The 24,210-nt window shown below is 44.2% G+C and overlaps 1 long non-coding RNA gene and 2 pseudogenes across 5 annotated transcripts in view; 1 reads left to right on the forward strand and 2 right to left on the reverse strand.

Annotated features, from left to right (window-relative positions):
* The window catches only part of LINC01297-DUXAP10-NBEAP6 (LINC01297-DUXAP10-NBEAP6 readthrough), a 115,486-nt gene that overhangs the window by 25,872 nt on the left and 65,404 nt on the right, over positions 1-24,210 (reverse strand). For 2 of the 3 annotated variants that reach the window (NR_164308.1, NR_164310.1), the window contains one exon: positions 12,347-12,437. This is a non-coding gene — a long non-coding RNA (LINC01297-DUXAP10-NBEAP6 readthrough). Of the gene's footprint in view, positions 1-110; positions 1,678-12,346; positions 12,438-24,210 lie in introns of those variants that run through there. The other variant, NR_164309.1, reaches the window with a different exon arrangement.
* DUXAP10 (double homeobox A pseudogene 10) overlaps positions 111-24,210 on the reverse strand; it is a 42,890-nt pseudogene continuing 18,790 nt past the window's right edge. Inside the window, exons 7-8 of the transcript NR_110526.1 lie at positions 12,347-12,437; positions 111-1,677 (exon numbers count right to left, since the gene is read on the reverse strand). The product of NR_110526.1 is annotated as a double homeobox A pseudogene 10 (transcript). The remainder of the gene's footprint in view (positions 1,678-12,346; positions 12,438-24,210) is intronic.
* On the forward strand, positions 12,016-22,240 carry BMS1P17 (BMS1 pseudogene 17; annotated as a pseudogene). The gene is made up of 3 exons (NR_073460.1): positions 12,016-12,338; positions 14,432-14,519; positions 21,927-22,240. The product of NR_073460.1 is annotated as a BMS1 pseudogene 17 (transcript).

Below are 24,210 nucleotides of genomic sequence, written 5' to 3' on the forward strand. Positions count from 1 at the left end.
GCCATATGTCTCCACTGCAAAATTACTGATTTTCCTTTTGTAATTAATAAGTGTGTGTGTGAAGATTCTTTGAGATGAGGTATATATCTCACTCTTCATCAAACTATAAGTTTTTTTAAGTAAAAGAAAATTTATTATGAAACTAAAGGAATAAAAGAATGACCACTCCATAGGCAGAGAAACGTCACTTTAAGGTTTTGACGTCAATTGATTTTTGTCCAAATCAATAATTACTGCAATGATTGAAAAATGATTATTACTAAGTTTGTTTTCATTGTCTCAAGGTCTGCTGAACTCTGGATCCAGGCTGTGTCAACAGGGTAGTGTGGTGCCTCCTGTACCTGTCTTGGCCTCCTACAGTCCTTTTTACTTATTTTGTTTTTTAGAATAGAGACAGGGTCTTACTATGTTGCTCAGACTGGTTTCAAACTCCTAGGCTCAAGCAATCTTCCAGCCTCAGCCTCCTAAAGTGCTGGGATTACAGGCATGAGCCACCACACCCGGCCAAGTTCTTTACCATCTTCAGAAGGCTTAGCTTGCACTTTTGGAAGAAGAATAGACTCCCAGGAAGACTGTGAGAGAGATTTGGGGCCCAAATTGATATTATCAAATACACTGAACTTGATTGTATTCACCATGTTCTGGCTCTTGAGAAATGAGAGTGCTAGTGAGGCTGGTGCCACTTTGTGTATCTTCTGTACCTTGAAGTCCCTCAGAAACCTTGCCCCTGGTCTTCTCTGGTCTTCTCATTCTAAGGACATAACAGGTTCTCTTTTTCTCTGGAGATGAAATCTAGATCTTCGATTTTGGAACCAAATTTGGACTCTTGACTCTGAAGCACCAATTTCTTCAGCAAGTTGTTCTCTGGAATCAATCCCAGGGTATGGGTTTTTCATAAATGCATGGATGACTGTGTGTAATTGAAAGGTGCTATAGGTGGTACAACACCATCTGGCTTCTCTATTTTGAAACTCCACACCAGGTTAATCTTGTCCATGGCTGTGGCTTAAATCTAAAGTCAGGTTCTGGTGTTTTCTGGAATCCATGCCTAGCTCTTTGATTCTGAAACCAAATCTGGATTCTGGACTCTTCTGCATTGATTGCTAAAGCAAGTTTTTGTTTGGTAGCATAACCTGGGTAAGGTTTTTGAGTGAAGGTATTGATGAGGATTTTCAATTGATCTTCTGTGAATTTGGTGCAATTGCACCTATGATTTGTTGCTACCATCTTGTGTGAAGAGGGGTCTTCAACTATGCAGAAAGAGAGTTCTGGAGGCTGAGCTACTGTCTGGGAGACTGCTTACAGCTCATTTTTTAAAAAGAAAGGTCACATATAATACAATATAAAATTCACAAATCTAAAGCTTATGGTTTTCTGGGTTTTGACAAATGAAAACTCCTGTGCAACTTCAAGCCTTACCAGGATATGGATGAGGGTTTCTACCCAAAAGCACCAGTATTCTAACAAACAACTTTACGTTTTTTGAATTGTCCAGTGCCTGTGAGGATTCCTTACTCCAAGTTTATGACAAACATATTCAGAAGGCATAGTCTACAATTAGTGTTTGGGTAAGTATTTTCATCAATTGTCTGATTATTTGCTGTGAATTTGAAGTATGCTGATTCTTATGTAATTGTCTTCTGAGAAACATTGTGCCATTTTTCTTGTGGAAACCACCTGTAGAATAAACAGAAATTATGAACGCACAGAGTTGGTTGTGATGGGCACGTCTACCTGTGGCTGCCATTTAAGTGGAAGGTGGAATCCGACTCTGGAGCATCGGCAGCCTGAGCTGCTGCTGGGCTCACACTGACCCTGGGAGTGCTCTATGCATGCTTCACCTTATGAGGGGTGCAGAAGGAACAAAAGTAGAAAAGTGTGCTCTACTTTCACGTGTTACCAAAGGACAGAGGACACCACCAAGGATTTAGAAAACTGTTAAGTGAGGATTTATTCTTCTTAATAGCCTTTCAAGCAAGGAATTTGAAAACAAGATTCTACTCATCCCACACCAAAATGTAAACAGATATATTATTTTCTATACTCCCAGGATAATTTTGGTTTTACTTAAGCATCACTATTGCCCTCAAATGTCAAGTGGAAAAATAAATGTGAATAATCCCACCACTAGCCTCCAGACTTGATGTTTATGCTATTTCGTTTTTAAAATGACCTTTTAAAAGTTATAAATTAGAAACGTGGAAGTAGAATGGCTTCATGCAAGAAATACTGGAATAAGATCCCTGTTCTGGCCCCAGAGTCTTAGACAAGTCATTCAGCCTTTCTAAACATCAGTTCTCCCTTCGGGAAAACATGGGCATTCATCTCTACGGGAGCTGCTAGCTCTAACTGTCAGTGAGTTTCTGAAACTTGCCCAGGAAGGAGCAGCCCCAGTGTGAGTGCATGCCACCCCTGTGCTTGCCTTTTGCCTGCTTCTTATCCTTGAGGTAGCCTGCAGGCTCCTCCTCATTCATCTCCTAAGCCAGTGCTATCTGACGGCACAGAATATGTTTCCAATTCTGGTCTCATCTGAAATACATTTTTCCTGGAAGAAAGATTACATCTATGACCTGCAAAGCATTATGCTCCTCTCTGTATTCCGGATCTTGTGTTATTTTTTTAATATGGGAAAATTTATGATTTTTTTTTTCCTGAGATGGAGTTTTGCTCTTGTCACCCTGCTAGAGTCCAATGGCATGATCTTGGCTCACTGCAACCTCTGCCTCCTGGGTTCAAGCGATTCTCCTGCCTCAGCCTCCCGAGTGGCTGGGATTACAAGTGCCTGCCACCACACCTGGCAAATTTTTGTATTTTTAGTAGAGATGAGGTTTCACCATTTTGGCCGGGCTCATCTTTAACTGCTGACCTCAGGTGATCCACCAGCCTCAGCCTCCCAAAGTGCTGGGATTACAAGCATGAGCCACCGCTCCCAGCACGATTATGTCTTTTTATATGAGAAAAATTTATTGAGATCATAAGGAAAAAAAAAATCCCTGAGCCAAAAAATGTCAACCAAGAAGAAAAAGAAAGTGAGAAGTAAGAAAAATATGTATTTTAGAGAAAGTGAAGTGGGCATAGCAATCACATTGAAATCTGGGTATAGAACAACCTTCATCTCTAAAATTTATATTTAGTCAACCACTATGCTAAGCAAGGTTGTGGTAGGAATACCTGCCACCTATTCTAGGCCACATGTCTCTTACGGGCAAAAAGTAAAGCAAAGCCATAATTGTGGTTCGATATTTTGGATGTATTAATTCTCATTTCAGCATTTGCATAGTCTCACATTTTGGAAAACAAAATTGTGGTGATTTCACTTGTCTCTCCATATCATGATTATATTCAAAACTAGGAAACAAACGTAGACTAAAGAAGCAAATACTAAAGAGTGAGATCATGCAGGTTAAACAGATACTCTTTCTCAGGGAAAAGTCATTTACCCATCATGAGCTGATATACTGTTGTGAGTTTATATGGTTTAGTGTATTTACAACTTAACTAAGTATACATGATTCACTGTGTACTGTAGAATATAATTAAATTGACATTTGCTGGTACGGAATAAATTTGCACATCAGTGAAATAAATGATGAAAATAAATAAAGTCTGAGGCCAGATAATTCCATTGGTTACCAATTTATGTCTTCAGCTCTACACCAAAGCAAATATTACAACTCCAAACAAGCAAACAGGTGAAGAAGAGATTTGCTTGTAACCTCAGATGTCAGAGAATGCATTTGTCTCTGAAAACATTTGTACTGGTTCTTTTTTTTTTTTTTTTTTTTTTTAGTCACGCTGTACTTTATTTAAAGGTGGCCATAGCATTAAAGTGTGAATTCATTTTGTACAACCAGAAATGGAAAAGGAGTCAGTCAAGGTGGGGCAGAAGTTTCTAACAAAGTCTAAAGCATAGTTTTATATAACTAATAATAAGGACACAATGTTTAGCTTACTTAATTCCCAAACTGAGGTCACTAAAACTTAAGAATATCTACCAAAACTTAAGCAAAATCTCAGAGAGAAACTTTAAAAATAACATTTTATTTTTGATCATTCAAAATGTTTCAATCAATATTCTGAGCCTAAACGTGTAGGTGAGTGCTTTCTCCATCTTTGCACATGTGAAGTGCGCCTGAACCATAGCCCCACATTTTCTCAAACACCATCACACTCATAGAACAGAAAGGAAAGGGCAGTTTCACCAGCTAGCCCCCATAAACCACTCCCTAGGGTCCTCCCCAGCACCTGCTAAATTTGGGAGGCCTGATTCCAGGGGGCTGGATAATGAGCTGGCAAAATAAACCCAGAAGAATCGTAATTGCAGACAAAGATAAACTCAGGTTCCAGCACAGATAGACAGCCCATACCAGTGCTTTTGATATTAGCTGCAGTTAAGCGGGCAGGAAAGGCTCCCACTCTATGGCCGGTGGTGTGGTCAGCTCAGCGCCGCCACCTCGGCAGGCTCCATCCCACCATCACCCTCCCAATCAGGCTGATAGTGTCTCCTTATGCCAAGTGGAAGGAACTGCAATCAAATTCTGACACGAACTGCAAATCCTCCAGGGCCCTGGGCTACTGGTTAGGCCAGTAGGGCTGTGTATCAACCGATTAAACCAATTAATAACTGGCAGCACAGCACGGCCTCCTTCTCAACAAATTACGATGCTGATCCCCAGACTCGGCCATCCATGCCCATGGTCTATTGTTCTTACGCTTTCAAAACGCCTCCCCTGCTTCATGCTTTCTAGTCTTGAGGACTTGGCTTAAATATGCTTCTGAATTGCCACTCCCTCTTGTTGACAATTCTTCTTTTTTTTTTTTTGGGAGACGGAGTTGCTCTTGTCACCCAGGCTGGAGTGCAGTGGCGCCATCTCTGCTCACTGCAACCTCCGCCTCCCGGGTTCAAGCAACTCTCCTGCCTCAGCCTCCTGAGTAGCTGGGATTACAGGCATCCACCATCACGCCTGGCTAATTTTTGTAGCAGAGACGGGGTTTCACCATGTTGGCCAGGCTGGTTTTGAACTTCTGACCTCAAGTGATCCGCCCCTCTCGGCCTCACAAAGTGCTGAGATTACAGGCGTGAGCCACTGCACCCGGCTGACAGTTCTTTACACCGTTCTCCAGTTGGGGCGGAGTGGGAGACACCACGGAGCCTACCTCTGCAGGAGGCATAGCTTGGCAGAAGGGAGACACCAGCCAGAGGAAGGGTGCATTTTAGGCACCGAACTTTAGGTAAAGCGCTCTGGGTCAGGCGTCTCCTCCAGAGTGGTCTGTTTAAAGTTAAAAAGGTCGCCTTCAAAATAGTTGTAAAATCTATACACTTACCCAGACATACACATTTTTCGAGACAGGGTCTTGCTCTGTCGCGAAGGCTGGAATGCAGTGGTGCAGTCGCAAGCCATCTTCCTGCCTCAGCCTCCCGAGGAGCTGGGACCACAGGCCCGCACCACCACACCCGGCTAATTTCGTTTTCTGTTTGTTTTATTTTCGTTTGTTTGTTTTGGAAGGATGGAGTCTGACTGTGTTGCCCAGGCTAGTCTCGAACCTCTGGGCTCAAGGGATCCTCCCTCCTCGGCCTCGCCAGGTGCTGGGGATTAAGGCTTGAGCCTCCACACCCGGACCTATTAATTATTCTTAATTAAAACATTTAAAGGACACAGCATTTGGGGTCAGCGCAGCATTTGCAGTGGCTGCTCCAGCTTCGGGGCCGCAGGTCACCGCGGGGGCCCGGTGCCTACTGGCCCGGCCGCCCTGCGGGTCAGCTCATGGGGATTCTCTGGAGAACCCTGAGCCCACCTCCTGCGCCCCGCCCAACCTTGGGTCCCCAGGCCCAGCCTCCGAGGCCCCGCTCCCAGCGCTGCCGCCAGAGCTCCAGGCTGCGCTCCCCCAGGCAAAGGCGCCACCGGCGTGTCCAGCGCAGCCTCCTCCTCCAGGCGGCGCGTGTGAGTCAATGGAAATGACCGTGGCGGGCGGAGCAGCCACCTAGGACATCGCGGAAGCCTCCTGAGGGGACTTCCACGGCTTGTCCCAGGAGCTTCTACAACAGCTGGCATTGAGAGTTCAGTTATAATATTTTCCGCCAGTTTTTCCCAGCCCGGCCCCCAAGCGTCTGATTTTAAAGTTCCCGCCTCAGGCTCCGGGGCGCCTACCCTGCAAGGGCGCCAGTTCTCCGACACCTGCTAGGGAATGAATCCCCATCCCAGGAGGAAGGCGTGGCGGGGACGGAAGAAACAACCACACGATCTGTGACAGTGACCAAGCTTTAGAGGCCCCGTGTGCCTGCCAGGCGCCTGAGCCCACACCGTCCACGCTTCCCTGCCCCGGCGGGAACCAGCTGTTCTCCTTGCACCGGCGAGGGCGCGGGGTCACCCCCGCCGGGCCGACCCCAGGCATGAGCTCCAGAACCCCCTCCCAATCGCCCCGTCTTGGGAGCGCAGGGAGTCTGGCTCTTCCCTGCCAATAACGAAATCATCACGGACATTAGGAAAGCGGGGCGAGGCTGGGAAGGGAGCGGCTTTAATCCGGGGTCCGCCCCCTTCAATTCTCCAGCTTAGCGGTCCCGAAAGTGGGGTGGGGACGGGGATTGAGGCTGAGCTCGCTTCTTCCTTGTTTTCCGGGTCTCGCGCCTCTGAAGCGAACTAGGCCTGGAGGAGTGCTGGGGGTCGAGGAAACAGGGTTGGGGTGACCGAGGGACAGGTGGGGCGGGCACCTGGGCCCCGGTCGAGGCGGATTCCGAGGCGGAGCCGCTGCCTGCCTGCGCCTCGCCTGCTCGGTCCACCCAACAGCTCCGCCCTAGACTCGCAGCTGCGGAAGCGGTGGGCCGGGTGGTGATTACAACCCTGAGCGCTGTCCCTTTGGAACCTGACTCCTGACTCCGCTCAGCAACCGGGACGTTGCGACCTCAAAGCCCTCTGTGCTTCTCCATCGATACCGGGCCGCCTCTCTCGCCTGCAGCGCACGCCTCCGCCCCCAGGGGCAGCGCAGCGAGGCGGAGACCCTCCTGCATTCCGAGCGTGCGGGGCAGCCCTCAGACTGAGGACCTGCGACTTCGTGGGACGCCGGTGTCCGCCACTGCGCCCCTCCAGGGAGCAGAGGCGGCTCTGGAAGTCGGTTTAGGGCGGAGACCGCGACTGGAGGGGCGCAGAACGCTCTTCCCAGCGTCCCGGGCTCCACCGGCACAATTTTAAAACCAGGGGCGAAATCCGAGTCCTGCCGCCACGCGGGGGTGGAGCGTGACCGCCTCGCCGCGCGCTGTCTCAGGCTCCGCCGGCTTTAGCGCCGCGAGGCTGCCAGGTGAGTTCCAGGGCTCTGTGGTTCCTAGAGCGCTCCCGGGAGTCTCCTGGCTGCAGCGGGAACCGAGCTGGATGCCCGGACAGCGCCGGGGTCGTTTTTCTGCCCCTGCCCCGTGGCCGGAGCCGCAGGCCTGCCGCTACCCCCACCCGGGCCACGCCTTCCTTCCTCGCGGCCGGACCGCGCCAGAGTCCCGGGCCCTGGCTGGAAACTCGCAGGCCCCGGGCAGCCGGGGCCGCAAGTGCGATGAAGAAGCGGGGCCCGGCGCGCACATGTGGTTCCGGGCAGGAGCCCCGGCCGCCTCGTGCCCTTCTTCTCGCCCACGACGGTGGCCGGCGGCGGCCTCTGCTTCCCGGACCCATGAACAAAGCTGGAGATGCGGCTTTGGAGTCGGCCCTGGGACCTGCTTCTTCTCTTGGCTTCGGGGACCGCAGCCCAGGGCGTTCCCTCCGGATCGGTGGCCAGGGCTTGCGGGGCGTGTGCGACTCGGGACCCCCAGCCGGGCAGCAGCGGCCGCCAAGCATGGCAAGGAGCAGTGCCAGCTTCTCCCCACCGCGTCCCGGGATGGCGGGCTTCGGGTGGGAGCCGGCCCGGGACATCCAGGTGGGATCAGCCACCGCTCAGGCCTTGTCCCAAGCGGACGCGGCCAGAGGCAGTCTCAGCACCACGCAGGCCGCGGGCTCAGTGGGCAAAGAGAGGGGCCCCCGGTTTAGACCAAAAACGTGTGTTCTCCAACCTCCTACTTAACAGCCCCTGTCTCATATGCTGGTTCCTGTCTCTAATAGTTCCTAGGTGTCTGGGACCGGTGACTTGGCCCCTGTTATCCCCGAGCTCAGCCGCAGGCTTCAGGGACCTGGGCAAAGTGTGGATAACCCTGCCCGCCTTTTGGGGAGGAAAGCCAGTTGCTCCCCTAGCCTCTACTGTGGCACTACGAAGCAAGGGCAGCCAAGCTGATCGCTGGTTTCATCTGCACCACCCCACTCCCTCTGGCAGGTGATGAGATGGCCAGTGACGGGTGGGTTGGCAGCTGGACTGGCGTGGCATGGCTAGCTGCCCTGGGCACCATATTCCCTGCCTGTCACCACTCCTGGTTGTCCAACAAAGCAAAGTCACAATGACAAGATCCAGAGAGGGGAGTCTCCAGCTGGAGATGGTGCCGCTGTCACAGGGCACCAGAGCAGCAATGTGACAGCTTCTCATGGAGGCAGACTCTGTTCCCAGTCCCTACCCAACCCTGGCTTGATCCTTGTCAGTGTCTTATTTCTTTGCCTTGCCTTTATCTCAGCCTGGCTTCCCTTCCAGGCAGCTCTGAGTGGCTCTTGGTCCAGGCTTGTCTCCATCTCTCCTTCCTCTTCCCAACTCCCTAAACTCAGGACCCAGTCACTCCTGCTCCTTACATACACACACACACTAACACACGCACACACTCACTCTCACCCTCTCCCCCCCACACACTCACACACACTCCCACCCTACCTTAGGAAACAGGTTTCCTTCCATGAACCTTTATTAAGACCTGTGGGGAATGACCAGGATCTGGGCCCCCAGTGTGTCTGTGAGCCAGCTTGTGTGTGTGTGCAAAGGTGTGAGTGTGTGAGCATCCATGTGGCTGTGGAAATTAGAAAGCATGTGTGTACACACGCGAGTGTGACAGTGAAGTGCTGAGAGTTGAAACAGTGTGCGTTTGGGGTCAGTGTGACCTTGGCCGTGTGGGCACACAGGTGAGCTGTGGCGACGGTGGAGGGATGTGAGTGACTCTGAGTGTGGAAGCTGAGCCCAGGGCAGATGGACAAATGCATCCTTTGAGCTCCTGTAGAGGCTGCCACTCCATACCTTGCTCAACTACTCCCTCTTTGTCATCCTGGGCTCCCTCAAATCAGGATGGGGTGCAGGAAGGGGAAGTGAAGCTGGTGACCTATGGGAAGGGGACTGTCTGCTTCCTGGGCCTGTCAGCCACTGATCTGTTCCATGTTCCTACAAATACTTACAAATCCCAGCTGCTGAGGAGCAAGACATCCTCCACCAGCCAGTTGGGGCTCCTGGCCTGGAGCTATGGAGCGAGACACATGGGGGAGGGGAGGGGGACCGCATCAGAAAGGCTGGCATCAGGGACTCCTGAGTTCAGCTCCTAGTTTTGCCAAAGGTTAGCCTGGGCACCCCAGTATGTCTTCATCAGGAACTGCAGAGCCAGACACACCACCCACGCCTCTGCCCCAGGAAGCGGCCCTACCTCTGCCTGAAGAGAGAGACTCCCACCTCAACAGCCAGCTTTCTGCCTTCTAGTCACGCCTCTCAATTAGGGGTAAAAAGAGGGGTCTTCTTGTTTTTTGTAGTGGGGGGTGTCTCACTGTGTTGCCCGGACTGTTCTCTAACTCCTGGCCTCAAGTGATCCTCCTGCCTGTAGCTCTGAAAGCACAGCAATTACAGGTGTGAGCTGCCACACCCAGCAGCTTCTTACCCTTTAAACGCCACACAAAATTCTCCTGGAGTTCCTGGGGGAGATTGTCTCTTTGAAATCAAAATCTTTCCCAGGACACCTTGAGCAATCCTTCAGGCTCTTTCTGGATTGGAGGCAGAAGAAATTGCAGCTCGGTGACCCTCCCTTTGCAAGGGCCCCCTCTGCAGCCCTTGAGGGGAGTGAAAGCATTTTCATTTGGCCTCATGCCCAGCTGCAGCCAGCTCTTTCACTTCTGGAGCTGGGCTGGTTGTGATAACCTGGAGGAGGGGGAATGAGTTGGGATGACTCACTTGCCCCAGCCCATCAACCCTGGCCTAGGCTTGTGGCCAGACACCTGGTTAACCACCCCAAGAGAGCTTCCTTTCTCAGGGAAATAATGATTATTGATTATTGATCCTCTATATCCACTTCCCAGGACACTGTCAGGCACACCACAGGCCCTTGGGCATTTTTGTGGCATCATCAGCCTTATTCCTGGATCACCATGTCAAGCTTTCCCAATAGCAGTTGGTGGCAAACTCCAACTCCTACTGTCAGAAGGCATCACAAGGCCCAGATATGCTGGGCCTCCCAGCTCAGGCAAGCCCAGCTGTCAGGGACACAGAAACCCCTGACACTGAGCCAAGATCTTTTCCCCCTGTCTTGGCTTGAAATTCAGATATATTGATGTTGAGCCCTCCTGGCCCGCAGTGGGACCCCCCCTTAGCCTTACAGAGGTAATGCCTATATCATGGCCTAGGTTTTTCCAAAAAGCCAGACTCTGGGAAGAACCTGGAGTGGAGGAAAAAACCAGGCAGAGGTAACCCCATGAGGGGCTCTGGCATGTGACTCCCTGCTGGAAACGTGCCCCTAACAGGGCATCAAAGCCAGGCAGGCAGGGGCTCCTGCTCTGCCAGAGGCTGGAAATCAGGACTGCAGCTTCCCACCTTACTCTGGGGATGCAGGTCAACTATTTTCCCTCAGATGAGAGATGCTGAAGTTCCAATTTTATAAGATGAGAAGAAGGGCTGAGGTGATGCCCATTCTGCCACTTTGCTGAGTCCAGAGCTGTGATGAAGAGGGAGAAGTCACAGGACAAAGAAGGGGGCTCAGGGACCCCGGAGTTTTCCTTGGCAGAAGTCAACTTGCCCCGCCCCTGAGAAAACTCTGACCTCAGCTGCCAGGGAGGAAAGCAGGGACTGGGGAGGAGGGGACAAGGAGAGGGAATAGTCTGGTGCTCTGTGCTCTGGGAGAGAAGTCTGATGGCGGCAGTGACTCAGGAAGGGTTAAGAATATTCCTAAAATAGCCAAGCCACAGCCTAAGCCAGTTCATGAATGCCTCTTCCAGAGAGCAGATCAGTAGCAGGAAAATTCAGCCTGATCTTCGCCCCACTGCCTGCCGCCTGCCCCTGGCTACTAGTTAAGCCTCCCACCCTGTCCCCTTCACCAACTCCTGTCCTAGTGGGGATGGGGTAGGAGTAGTCAGAGGGGCCAAATCTCCCCAGTCAACAGGGAACTCCAGCTGGGACCAGGAGTACTGGGCCCCAGTGCCCGCCACCACCCCCCACCCCCATCCACACTCCTGGTCTGAGTCAGGTAGGAGGACTTGGGACAGACAGGCAAAGTGCAGGCCTTGTACATGGGATGGAAGGTGCCAGAAGAGAGCAGCCAAATTCTCCCACCCACACACATGCATCACCAGCCATGATCAGGTGGGACCTCCAAGATCATCCTCAAATACTGCCTTCTCCTAGCTCTGTGTTCCCCTTTACTTAGGGCATCTTGGAGTGAGATGGGCAGGGAGGGGTCGAGTGAGTCCCTTCATGAACAAACCTTATCTTTGTTTCAGGGACAGGACTGGGTACATAATTTGCAGGACCCGGTGCTAACTGAAAATGTGGAGTCTGTTCAAAAATTGTTAAGAATTTGAAGGCAGTGACAACATAGCACTAAACCAAGTTCAGGTCCCCTCTGACAGTGGGGCTTTTGCCACTGCACAGGTGGCACCTCTATGAAGCCAGCCTTGTGCAGGGGTTTGGTTTAATGAACATTTACTTAGCGCCCACTGCTCAGCTCTTCTGGCTCTGTAATATGGTGTGGCTCTGTGTCTGCACCCAAATGTCATTTTGAACTGTAATCCCCACGTGTTGGGGGAGGGGCCTTGTGAGAGGGCATTACATCATGGGAGTGGTTCCCACATGCTGTTCTCGTGATACTGAGTGAGTTCCCACGAGATCTGATGGTTTTATAAGGGGACTTTCCCCTCTTCTGCACTTCTCTCTCCTGCTGCCACGTGAAGGATGTGTTTGCTTCCCCTTCCACCATGATTGTAAGTTTCCTGAGGCCTCCCCAGCCATGTGGAACTGTGAATTAAACTTCTTTCCTGGAGTGTGAAAATGAACTAATAAACTCTGTGACCTCAGAGACTCCCTCTCAGTGACCCTGTTCTCAAATGTATGAAGATGGGTGCTCAAAGATCTCTCTCTAAACATGGAACAGGGCCTGTCTGAAGACATAAGTGATTAACTTCTAATCTATAACTAAGGTCTGAGTCCTGAAGACCTTCCTCTGGAGGCTGAGTAGTTAATCTAGATGGGTCCAGGTGCTGCAGGTGATTACCTTTATCTTGTTTCCTGCAAAATCATGGAGGTTTGGGAAGTTCCTTTAGACCCATTCTCGTATGGAGGTTTGTTTTCTTCTTTTTTCTTTCCTGCAAGGACAAACCGAATTCTGTGATGGTTTGTGTAGCATTTTTGAGTTTATTGCCAAAAATTGAGGCTCGTTTGTAGACTACATTTTTTAATAAAATAAAACTTTCTAGACAAAGAAATGCAGGTGAAACTGTTCCTTTGACACCATTTTCCAAATCTACACAGAGTTGATAGCAAATTTTTCTCTTTATCTTTCCTTAAATTGTATATATTCATATAAATGCTCTTAAATTCTTAGTGCAACCGAGTGGATTGTCATTACAGAGCATGTCCTTAGCATAGAGCACAGATCTTCCCACTGTCAACTGGGCTCTGTTCACAAAGCACCCAGAGCTGGCCTTCAATTTCCACTCCTCAGTTCCTTTGCCTACCTTATTTCTAAAATAGGGAAGGTATTTGTCTTTTTAATATTTAATAAATGACATTTATTATCATTCTGCCTACTGAATTTCACTTGTCTGTCTGGTAATAACCTACTCCCGTAAGAATCAATGAGTTCTTGGTACATATTGGTCTAAATTTGCCTCCTCTTTGAACCTTTTTCCAGTTTTCCAGGCAAGGTTGATTTATCTATCTATTTATTCTATGTTTCCATAACAATCTCTCCAAGCATAATACAGTAAAAAAAGAGCTGATGCATCATGTCCTGTCCGTTTCCCTCTGGAGACTTTGGAGCCAATGTGAGGGTACAGGTATGCTCCTGTAGAAGCTCTTTGGTCGCCTTTGTCAGTTTAGGACAGTTCTCAGTATGTAATTGTTCTCAGGTGCCATTAAACTAGACCTGAATAATTGAAGGATTGAAAGTGTTCAGAAATCACCCAGGATGCTTCAATAATTCATCCTAATTAGGGATATGGGGATAGTTTGCATGAGAAAGAAGTTTTTCTTTTTGAGGAAAAGTTAAAATTCAGCAGGCAGAATGAAAATAAATGTCAATAATTTTTTATTTTAAAATATTCATGTTTTACTATTTTGATATAATTTTTAAAGAAAAAGGCAGAAACCACTGCTTATTAGAAGGCAGATTTTATTGATTTTATACCCCTAGACTTGTTGCATATCAAACCTGTGTAAAAACATCTATAAATCAAATCATTAATTGCACCTAGTATAATAATTCTATATATGGAGGTAATGTTTGATTCTTCAGGAGCTTTAATAACTTGAAGCCCGTTTGATTGCTTTAAAATGATTTCTCATTGTATTTGTTTATATTGTATCATTAAGCAAAAGTACAGAGTAAGCAATTAGTGTGATTAATTCCTCTTCTATAATACAGTAAAGCACTGCCTCCATAGACCAATTCTCTGGGATCCCTGGAAAACATCTGGCATCCAGCAAGTCTTGACCCCTCTTTAGAAAGCCATGGAGAAACTGGAGGCAATTCTGTTAATTATTTGCCCTCTAGAGGCAATTGGGTTAATTACCCTCCCTTCCCTATCCATGACACAATTTCTCCAGTTACATGTAGAATGCTGTTATGTGTCTCCTGACCAGACCCCTTATTTCATAGATGTGGAAACTGAGGCCATGAAGGATGAGGTGACTGTTCACAATCCACATGGCTAGTTAGTGTCCAGAGCCTGGCCTGGACTTCTCTCTTGTTCTGGGGCCTTGAGTTCTCTCCCTCTTCTTTAGTACATATGGCCACAGGTAACGTAATCTGCGTACCACATTTGCATTTGGAGTGCATCTGTTTTGCATTCATTTAATCTTGTTGAGATGGTTTGCTTGCTGACCTACTCAGTCAGTTATCTTTTCACCTTTGTGAGTTGAGAGCTTTGTGTATTAAATCTGTAAAACTTTGCATCGTGGAAAGTGACATAATCTGTAGCAGACCCATGCTGTTTTTAGATGCATCTTCATTGTGGTAGTGACAGTGATTGAGAAACTTTACATGTTTTTCTGTGCTATTTCAGAATATGCCTTCTGAATTCAGCTAGAGGTGGAGTCAAAAACAACAGAATACTATATTTTTGTTTCTCTGATTTAGGTAAAATACCTCTTTTCTGACAAGACTAGGACTCTTACATAGACTACCATGAACTAAAAGAAGCACAACATTGCCAGAGTAACCTGTGGTACGTGTATTAATCACTTACTGAACATTTTACTTGCATTCTTTCAAGAAAATGAGTTTATTTTTAGATACTTAGTCAAATTATCTTGACTTTCTGATGTTTTTAAAGAGTATTTATAATAGATTTAGTTATTTCATTAATATTGAATGTATTTAAAACTAAATGCATCCCAAAGGAAACTGAACAGTTAAAACATGGTTTATTTCTGCAAATATTAACTTAGTGAGAAATCCCAGGGAATCTGCACATTTGTGTTTTCTATCTAACAATCATGAATTTCTTAGTGTATGTTTTGATCAGGCTGTCTTTTGATCACAGTTTTGTGACCACTCTGTTATTCCTCTCTCTCTGGCAGTCATTTCCCAGAATTGACAAGGAATTCATCCTGAGATGATTTCTGCTAAGTAAATCCTAGCACTTCTTGACACTTTAGAAAAGGCTTTGGAATAATTTTATATTAGCATTTTTCACCTGCATATTTTTACATGTAAATATAAGCTGTGAATGCATTACTTTGAAAGAGAGCCAGGATAAAATTTAAAGAAACATGGTTCTAGAAGTCCAATGGTAGTATAAGATTTCACAAAGAAACAGACTGCTCTTCATTCAGTACTTCCTATTTACTCCCCAGACACAGCCAACTTCAACATTTTTTACTTAAAAAATGTATTTTTATATTTCAAAATAACATGTTTATGTGACCTGTCTCTCACCCATCCTGACCTACTCTGGCTTTACCCCCTTCAGAATATTTAAAATTTCTTGAGTATCCTTAGCATATACCATTCCAATCATGAATCTTGGGGTAGGCTTATTTTTTTTTTAATTTGTGCATTTAATAAACCCCTAGTGGTACATGTCTGTTTTTCTTGTTAATTCTTGGAAATGTCTTTCTATTGTTTCTATAATAATTTTCTTCCCCTCTAGCTTCCCTTTTTCTTCTGGATCTCGTTAGGTATTGAACCTCTTGAGTTGATTTTCTAATTTTTGTCATCTCCCTCTCTCATTTTTTGTATTTTGTGTTTAATTTTCTGGTATCTAATTCACCTTGATTTTCTATCTTTCTGGTGATATTTTCATATGCTGTCACTCTTACAGTTGTCAAATGCCTTCTCCTGACCTTGCCCTTGTGTTCTGTTTACTCTGCCCACCTCTTCGATTCTCCCCATTGCTACCTGGTGTTTTGGTTTCTTTTTCTTTTTCTTTTTCTTTTTTTCTTTTTTTTTTTTTTGAGACAGAGTCTCGCTCTGTAGCCAGGCTGGAGTGCTGTGGCGCGATCTCAGCTCACTGCAACCTCCACCTCCCGGGTTCAGTAGCTGGGACTACAGGCACATGCCACCACACCCAGCTAAATTTTGTATTTTTAGTAGAGACTAAACATACATTTCACCATGTTGGCCAGGATGGTCTCGATGTCTTTACCTCGTGGTCCGCCCATCTCAGCCACCCAAAGTGCTAGGATTACAGGCGTTAGCCACCGCTCCCAGCCTTGGCTTCTTAATTTTGTTTTATAAGCTTTCTTCAAAGGCCTGGTCATCATTTGCTGTGTGTTTATATATTTTTATTTTTTCAGTGGGCAAAATACATGTAACATAAAATGCATCACATTAACTATTTTAAGTGTACAGTTCAGTTGCTTTAACTATATTCATAATGTTTTGTAATGATTCCCACCATTCCTCTCTAGAACTTTTTCATGTGAAGCTCTGTACCTGTAAAACAGTAATTCCTAACTCCTGTCATCTTCCAGTCCCTATTAACCACCATTCTACTTTCTGCCTCTATGACTTTGCCTATCTTAGGTACCTCATATAAGTGGAATCATACAGTATTTGTCTTTTTGTGTTTGGCTTATTTCCATTAGCATAATGTATTCAAGGTTTCATTGTTCATCCCCATTGTGAAATGTGTCAGAATCTCCTTCCTTTAAAAAGGAATAATATTCCAATAATATTCCATTGCGTGCATATATCACATTTGTTTATCCATTCATCCACCAGTGGGCATGATGTTGCTTCCACCTTCTGGCTACTGTGAGTACTGCTGCTGTAAACATTGCTATGGAAATATCTTTTTGGGTCCCTGCATTTAATTATTGGGGCTATATACCTCAAAGTGGAATTACTGGGTCATATAGTAATTCTATGTTCAACTTTTTGAGGAACCACTGTGCTGCTCTGTAGAGCAGTCCACCACTTTACACTACTATTAGTAATGCACAAGGGTTTCATTTTCTCCATGTCCTTGTCAACACTTTTAATTTTCCATCTTTTGTTTGTTTGCATTATAATCGCCATTTTAATGGGTATGAAGTTGTACCTCTTTGTGATCTTGCTTTACATCTCCCGTATGACTTGTGATATTTTCTGCACATATTTTAAGGTTTATATACTAACAAAGCCGATTACTAGGTGGGGGTGTGTAGGGGGAACTGTGTGGCTGCTGAGTGGCTTCCCTGTGGGATGATCAGCCAGAACCCACTATTGTATCAGGAAATCCCCAGGTGTCACCATCTATGGGTCTTTTGTAGTTTTTATGGGTACACAGTAGGCATATATGTATTTATGGGGTATATGAGATATTTTGATACAAACATATAATGCATAATAATCACATCAGGGTAAATGCGTTATCCATCATCTCAAACATTTATCATTTCCTTGTATTATGAACAATTCAGTTATATGCAGTTATCTTAAAATGTACAAAAAACTATTGCTGACTATAGCTACCCCGTTGTGCTATCAAATAAAAGATCTTATTCATTGTAACTACATTTTGTACCTATTAACCATCCCCACTTCCCCCCACTGGCTACACTTCCCAGCCTCAAGTAACAACCATTCTACTCTATCTTCATGAGTTTGTTTTAATATTCAGCTCCCCCAAATCAATGTGAATGTACAAAGTTTATCTTTCTGTGGCTGGCTTATTTTACTTAAAATAATATCCTACAGCACCATTCCATGTTGTCACTAATGACAGAATCTCATTCTTTGTTATGGCTGAAAAGTACTCCATCATATATAGGCACATTTTCTTTATCCATTCATCTGTTGATGGACACTGAGGTTGCTTCTACATCTTGGATATTGTGAATAGTAATGCAATAAACATAGGAGTGCAGTTATCTCTTCGATATATTGATTTTCTTTTTTTGTATATATATCTAGCAATGAGATTGCTGGATCATATGATAGCTCTAATTTTAGTTTTTTGAGGAACCTCCAAATTGTTCTCCATAGTGGTTGCACTAATTTACATTCCCACCAACAGTATGCAAGGGTTGGCTTTTTTTCCATATCCTCACCAGCATGTGTTATCACCTGTCTTTTGAAAAAAAAGCCATTTTAACTGAGGTGAGATGATATCTCTTCATAGTTCTGATTTGCATTTCTCTGATAATCAGTGATGTTGGCCACCTTTTCCTAAGTCTGTTAGTCTTTTGTATTTCTTTTTTTGAGAAATATCTATTAAGATCTCTTGCCCATTTTCAAATCAGATTATTAGATTTTTCTCTATACAGTTGTTTGAGCTTTTTATATATTCTGGTTATTAATCCCTTGTCAAATGGATAGTTTGCAAATACGTTTCCCCATTTTTTGGATTTTCTCTTTGTTGACTGTCTCTTTTGCTATGCAGAAGCTTTTTAACTTAATGCAATCCCAATTGTCCACTTTTGCTTTGGTTGCCTGTGCTTGTGGGGTATTGCTTAAGAAATCTTTCCATAGTCTAATAGCCTGGAGAATTTCCCCAATGTCTTCTTGTAGTAGTTTAACCTACCAAGATTGAACCATGAAGAAATTCAAAACCTGAACCGACCAATAACAAATAATGAAATCAAAGCCTTAATAAAAACTACCAACAAAGAAAATCCTGGAAGCAATAGCTTCACTGCTGTATTTTACCAAACACGTACAGAATAACTAACACCAATCCTACTCAAACTATCCCAAAAAATAGAGGAGGGAGGAATATTTCAATGCCTGATACTTAAACCAAAGACAAATTAAAAGAGAAAACTACAGGCCAATATCCCTATGAAAAATTGATGCAAAAATCCTCAAGGAAATTTACAAACAAAACAAATCCACAACATATTGAGAATTATTCATAATGACTAAGTGGAATTTATGCCAGGAATGGAAGGATGGTTCAAAATACGCAAATCAATGTGATCATCATATCAACAGAATGAAGGACAAAACTTATATAATAATGTCAATTGATGCGGTAAAGCATTTGATAAAATTCAACATTTTATTGTAAAAACCCTTCAAAAAACAGGGTATAGAAGAAACATACCTCAACACAATAAAAGCCATATAAGACACTCCCACAAGTATAGTATCTTACTGAATGGCAGAAAAACTGAAAGCCTCTCCTCTAAGCTCTGGAACAAGAGATGCTCATTTTCACCACTCTGCCTCCTGAGTTCAAGCAATTCTCCTGCCCAAGCCTCCCTAGTAGCTAGGACTATAGGTGCATGCCACCACACCTGGCTAATTCTTTTCTTTTCTTTCTTTTTTTTTTTTTTTTTTTTTTTTTTTGTATTTTTAGTAGAGATGGGGTTTCACCGTGTTAGCCAGCATGGTCTCAATCTCCTGACCTTGAGATCTGCCCACCTCAGACTCCCAAAGTGCTGGGATTACAGGCATGAGCCACTGGGCCCAGGCCTTCCTGTCTTCTTCTAAGCTCTCCAAACTGTTCCAACCTCTGCCCATTACCCACTTCCAAAGCTGCTTCCACATTTTCAGGTATCTTCATAGCAATGCTCTACTTCCCAGTACCAATTTTCTGTATTAGTCTGTTCTTGCACTGCTATGAAGAACTACCTGAGACTGGGTAATTTTATAAAGAAAAGTGGTTTAATTGGATCACGATTCTGCAGGCTGAACAAGAAGCATGGCTGAGGAAGCCTCAAGAAATTTACAATCATGGCAGGAGGTGAAGAGGGAGGTGACACGCCTTACATGGCTGAAGCAGGAGGAAGAGAGAGCAAAAGGGAAGATGCTACGTACTTTTAAACAATCAGATCTGGTGAGAACTCACTATACAAGAATGGCAAGGGAGAAATCCTCCCCCATGATCCAATTACCTCTGCCCAGACCCCTCCTCCTACACTGGGGATTACAATTAGACATGAGATTTGAGTGGGGACACAAATCCAAACCATAAGGTTAGTATTAAAAGTTAATTGCTTTCCTATATACTAGCAATGAAAAAAACTGGAATTTGAAATTTCAAATACAATGCTATTTACATGAGTACCCCAAAAATGAAATATGTAGGCATACAGTAAACAAAATATGTACAGGATCTATATGAGGAAAACTTCAAAACTTTAATGAAAGAAATCAAAGGAAACCTAAATAAATTGATATATATTTCATGTGCAAGGATAGCAAGACTCAGTATTGTTAAGATGTTAATACTCCCCTTCTTGATCTATAGATTCAACTCTACTCCAATTAAAATTCTAGCAGGTTATTTTGTAGATATAAACACATTTATTCTAAAGCTTATATGAAGACGCAAAAGACTCATAGTCAAAATGCTGAAGAATAACAACTCAGAAGACTGACACTACCCAACTTTAAGACTTACTCTCCAGCTAAATAATTGAGATAGCATGGCATTAGTGAAAGAATATGCAGATTGATCAATGGTTCAGAAGAGAGAGCCCGGAAATTGACCTATGCAAATATAGTTAGCTGAGCTTTGACAAAGAAGCAAAGGCAATTAAATGAAAGAATGCAGTCTCTTCAACAAATGGTGCTTAAAAATTGGATGTCCATGTACAAAAAAAAAGAATCTAAGTTCAGACTTTACACCCTTCTCAAAAATTAAAACTCAAAATGGATCAAAGATCTAAATGTAGAATGCAGAATCACAAAACTTCTAGATCAAGAATATCCAGGTGACCTTGGGTTTGGTGATGTATTTTTAGATACAGCTAAGTGTAGGTGCAGTGGCTCACACCTGTAATCCCAGTACAGGTGTAGCTGTAGGGAGCTGAGGGAGGCAGATCGCTACAGCTCAGGAGTTTGAGACCAGCCTGGTCAACATGGTGAAACCTAATCTCTACCAAAAATACAAAAAATTAGCAGGTGTGGTGGTACGCACCTGTGGGGCCAGCTACTTGGGAGGCTAATGGGGGAGAATTGCTTGAGCCTGCGAGGCAGAGGTTGCAGTGAGCTGAGATTGCACCACTGCACTCCAGCCTGGTGACAGCGCAAGACTCTGTCTCAAGAAAAAAAAAAAATGTCGTTTTATCCACTGGGTTTTGTTTCCTACTTTTTTGATTTGTGTTAAGAAAGGGGAAAAAAATCACAAGTTTGTCTAACCATTCAGTAGAAAAACAGAGCATTTGCAGACAACTTGGCAAGGGTAGAGAAATGGATGTACTGTTTTTCAGTATTTGGGGAAGGTGGTTTGAGCAGTATTTATTGACAATTTCATTAGTGGGGATGTTTCTATTAAAAACACATAGTAAGATCATTAAGTGTTCTTGCAATATAAAGTAATAATACCACCAGTGTTTATCTTACTGTTTTCATGTTCTAAATGCATGCACCTGAGTAAAAGGATCTGGGCTGCAGTCTAGGCTGAGAGATGCCAGCAAAGGCTGCCTAGGACAGTGCAGTCCAGTAAATCCCTCTTTAATCTTCTCTTCCACACAGACAGCAGTGATGAGCATGCCCACGAACCCACATGATTATTTTGGGAAAAATGAAAGAGTTGTATTCTTTTTGTGGTAGTAATTCCACTTCCAGGGGCAAATACATTTTGATTATTTTATCACCTTTCAGTGAGTTGTTTTTGTTCTTTAACCAAGGATGTATGTTTGAGGTAAGAAGTAAAGCAGAAAGTATATGATTTTTTGTGTGTATTTTTATCTTGCTATACCCATAGGGAATGTTTAATTCTGCCTTGGAAGTGGCCATATTTGAAGGTGCTGTGATTCAAACTGTCAGCGAGATAAGGCAGCAGATCAAGAAAGCACTCCGGGCTCCAGAAGGAGCCTTCCAGGCCAGCTTTGAGCATAAGCTGCTGATGAGCAGTGAGTGTCTTGAGTAGTGTTCAGGGCAGCATGTTACCATTCATGCTTGACTTCTAGCCAGTGTGACGAGAGGCTGGAGTCAGGTCTCTAGAGAGTTGAGCAGCTCCAGCCTTAGATCTCCCAGTCTTATGCGGTGTGCCCATTCGCTTTGTGTCTGCAGTCCCCTGGCCACACCCAGTAACAGTTCTGGGATCTATGGGAGTAGCTTCCTTAGTGAGCTTTCCCTTCAAATACTTTGCAACCAGGTAGAGAAGTTTGGAGTGAAGGTTTTGTTCTTTGTTTCTTCACAATATGGATATGCATCTTCTTTTGAAAATGTTAAAGTAAATTACCTCTCTTTTCAGATACTGTCTTCATGCGAACTTGGTATCCTGTTTCCATCCCAGCCTTCTATAACCCAGTAACATCTTTTTTGAAACCAGTGGGTGAGAAAGACACCTGGTCAGGAACGCGGACCACAGGACAACTCAGGCTCACCCACGGCATCAGACTAAAGGCAAACAAGGACTCTGTATAAAGTACCGGTGGCATGTGTATTAGTGGAGATGCAGCCTGTGCTCTGCAGACAGGGAGTCACACAGACACTTTTCTATAATTTCTTAAGTGCTTTGAATGTTCAAGTAGAAAGTCTAACATTAAATTTGATTGAACAATTGTATATTCATGGAATATTTTGGAACGGAATACCAAAAAATGGCAATAGTGGTTCTTTCTGGATGGAAGACAAACTTTTCTTTTTAAATTTTATCTTATATATTTGAGGTTGACCACATGACCTTAAGGATACATATAGACAGTAAACTGGTTACTACAGTGAAGCAAATTAACATATCTACCATCTTACATAGTTACATTTTTTTGTGTGACAGGAACAGCTAAAATCTACGTATTTAACAAAAATCCTAAAGACAATACATTTTTATTAACTATAGCCCTCATGATGTACATTAGATCTCTAACTTGATCATCCTATATGTCTGCTACTTTGTATTTTCTTAATGTACGTCTCCCCATTTGCTATTGGTCATTTCCTATTTGGCTCATTTTTCAACTGGGTTGTTTTTCCTGTTATTAAAAGAGTTCTTTACTGATTTTTGGACACTAACTCTTTAACAGGTATATGATCTGCAAATATTTCCTCCAGTCTGTAGGTTCTCTTTTCATTTTGTTGGTTTTTTCCTTTGCTGTGCAGAAGCTTTTTAGTTTGATGCAGTCCTCCTTGTTTATGTTTCCATTTGTAGCCTGGCTTGTGGTGTGATATCCAAAAAATAATTGCTAAGGCCAATGTCAAGAGGCTTTCCCCCTATGTTCTCTTCTAGGAGTTTTAAGGTTTCAGGTCTTATTTGGGTCTTGGGTCTTGTATCTGTTTTGAGTTGATTTTTGTGTATGGTGTATGATCAGGGTCCATTTTTATTCTTTTGAATGTGAAAATCCAGTTTTCCCAGCACTATTATTGAAGAGACTATTTTTCTTTCCATTGTGTTGTCTTGTTTGCCCTTGTCAAAAATTAGTTGACAGTATATGTTTGGATTTATTTCAAAGGTCTCTGTTCTGTTCCATTGGTTTATACTTTTTGTTTCTATGCCAGTATCATACTGTTTTGATTACTATAGCTTCGTAATACAATTTTAAATCAAGAGGTGTGATGCCTCCAACTTTTTCTTTCACAGTAATCTGTTGGCTGTTTGGGGTTTTTTGTGGTTCCATACAAGTTTCAGGATTGTTTTTTCTGTTTTTTTTTTTGTTTGTTTGTTTGTTTGTTTTTTTCTTGAGATGAAGTCTCACTCTGTTGCCCAAGTTGGAGTGCAGTGGCACAACCTTGGCTCACTGCAACCTCTGCTTCCCGGATTCAAGCAATTCTCCTGCCTCAGCCTCCCGAGTAGCTGGGACTACAGGCACATGCCGCTATATCCGGCTAATTTTTGTAGTTTTAGTAGAGACAGGGTTTCACTATATTGGCCAGGCTGGTCTCCAAGTCCTGACCTCGTGATCCACCTGCCTCGGCCTCCCAAAGTGCTGGGATTACAGGCATGAACCACAACACCTGGTCAGGATTGTTTTTTTCTGTTCTGTGAAGAATGCCACCAGAACTTTGATGAGGATTGCGTTAAATCTATATATTTGCTTTGGGTAGTGTGAACATTTTAACAATATTAATTCTTCTGATCCATAAACATAGGATATCTTTTCATTTGTTCATATCTAAATTTCTTTCATCAATGTTTTATGGTTTTCAAGTGTACACATCTTCCGTCTTATTGGTTAAATTCATTCCTACGTATATGTTTTTCTTTGATGTTATTGTAAATGAGATTGTTTTCTTGATTTCTTTGTCAGCTAGGTTATTTGTATATAGAAATGCAACTGATTTTTATATGTTGAGTTTATACTTTGCAGCTTAACTGAATTGATTTAGTAGTTCTCAGAGTTTTTTGTGGAATGTTTGGAGTTTCTTACATAAAGGGTCTTGTCATCTGCAGATAGAGATAATTTTACTTCTTTAATTTAGTTGCTTTTTTTTCCTCATCAGATTGCTCTTGCAAGTACTATGTTCAATAAAAGTGATGAGACTGGGCATCCCTATCTTGTACTCAATCTTAGTAGAAAAGCTTTTAGTTATTCCCCACT

The sequence above is a fragment of the Homo sapiens genome, chromosome 14 (assembly GCF_000001405.40).
Source record: "Homo sapiens chromosome 14, GRCh38.p14 Primary Assembly".
NCBI lineage: Eukaryota > Metazoa > Chordata > Mammalia > Primates > Hominidae > Homo > Homo sapiens.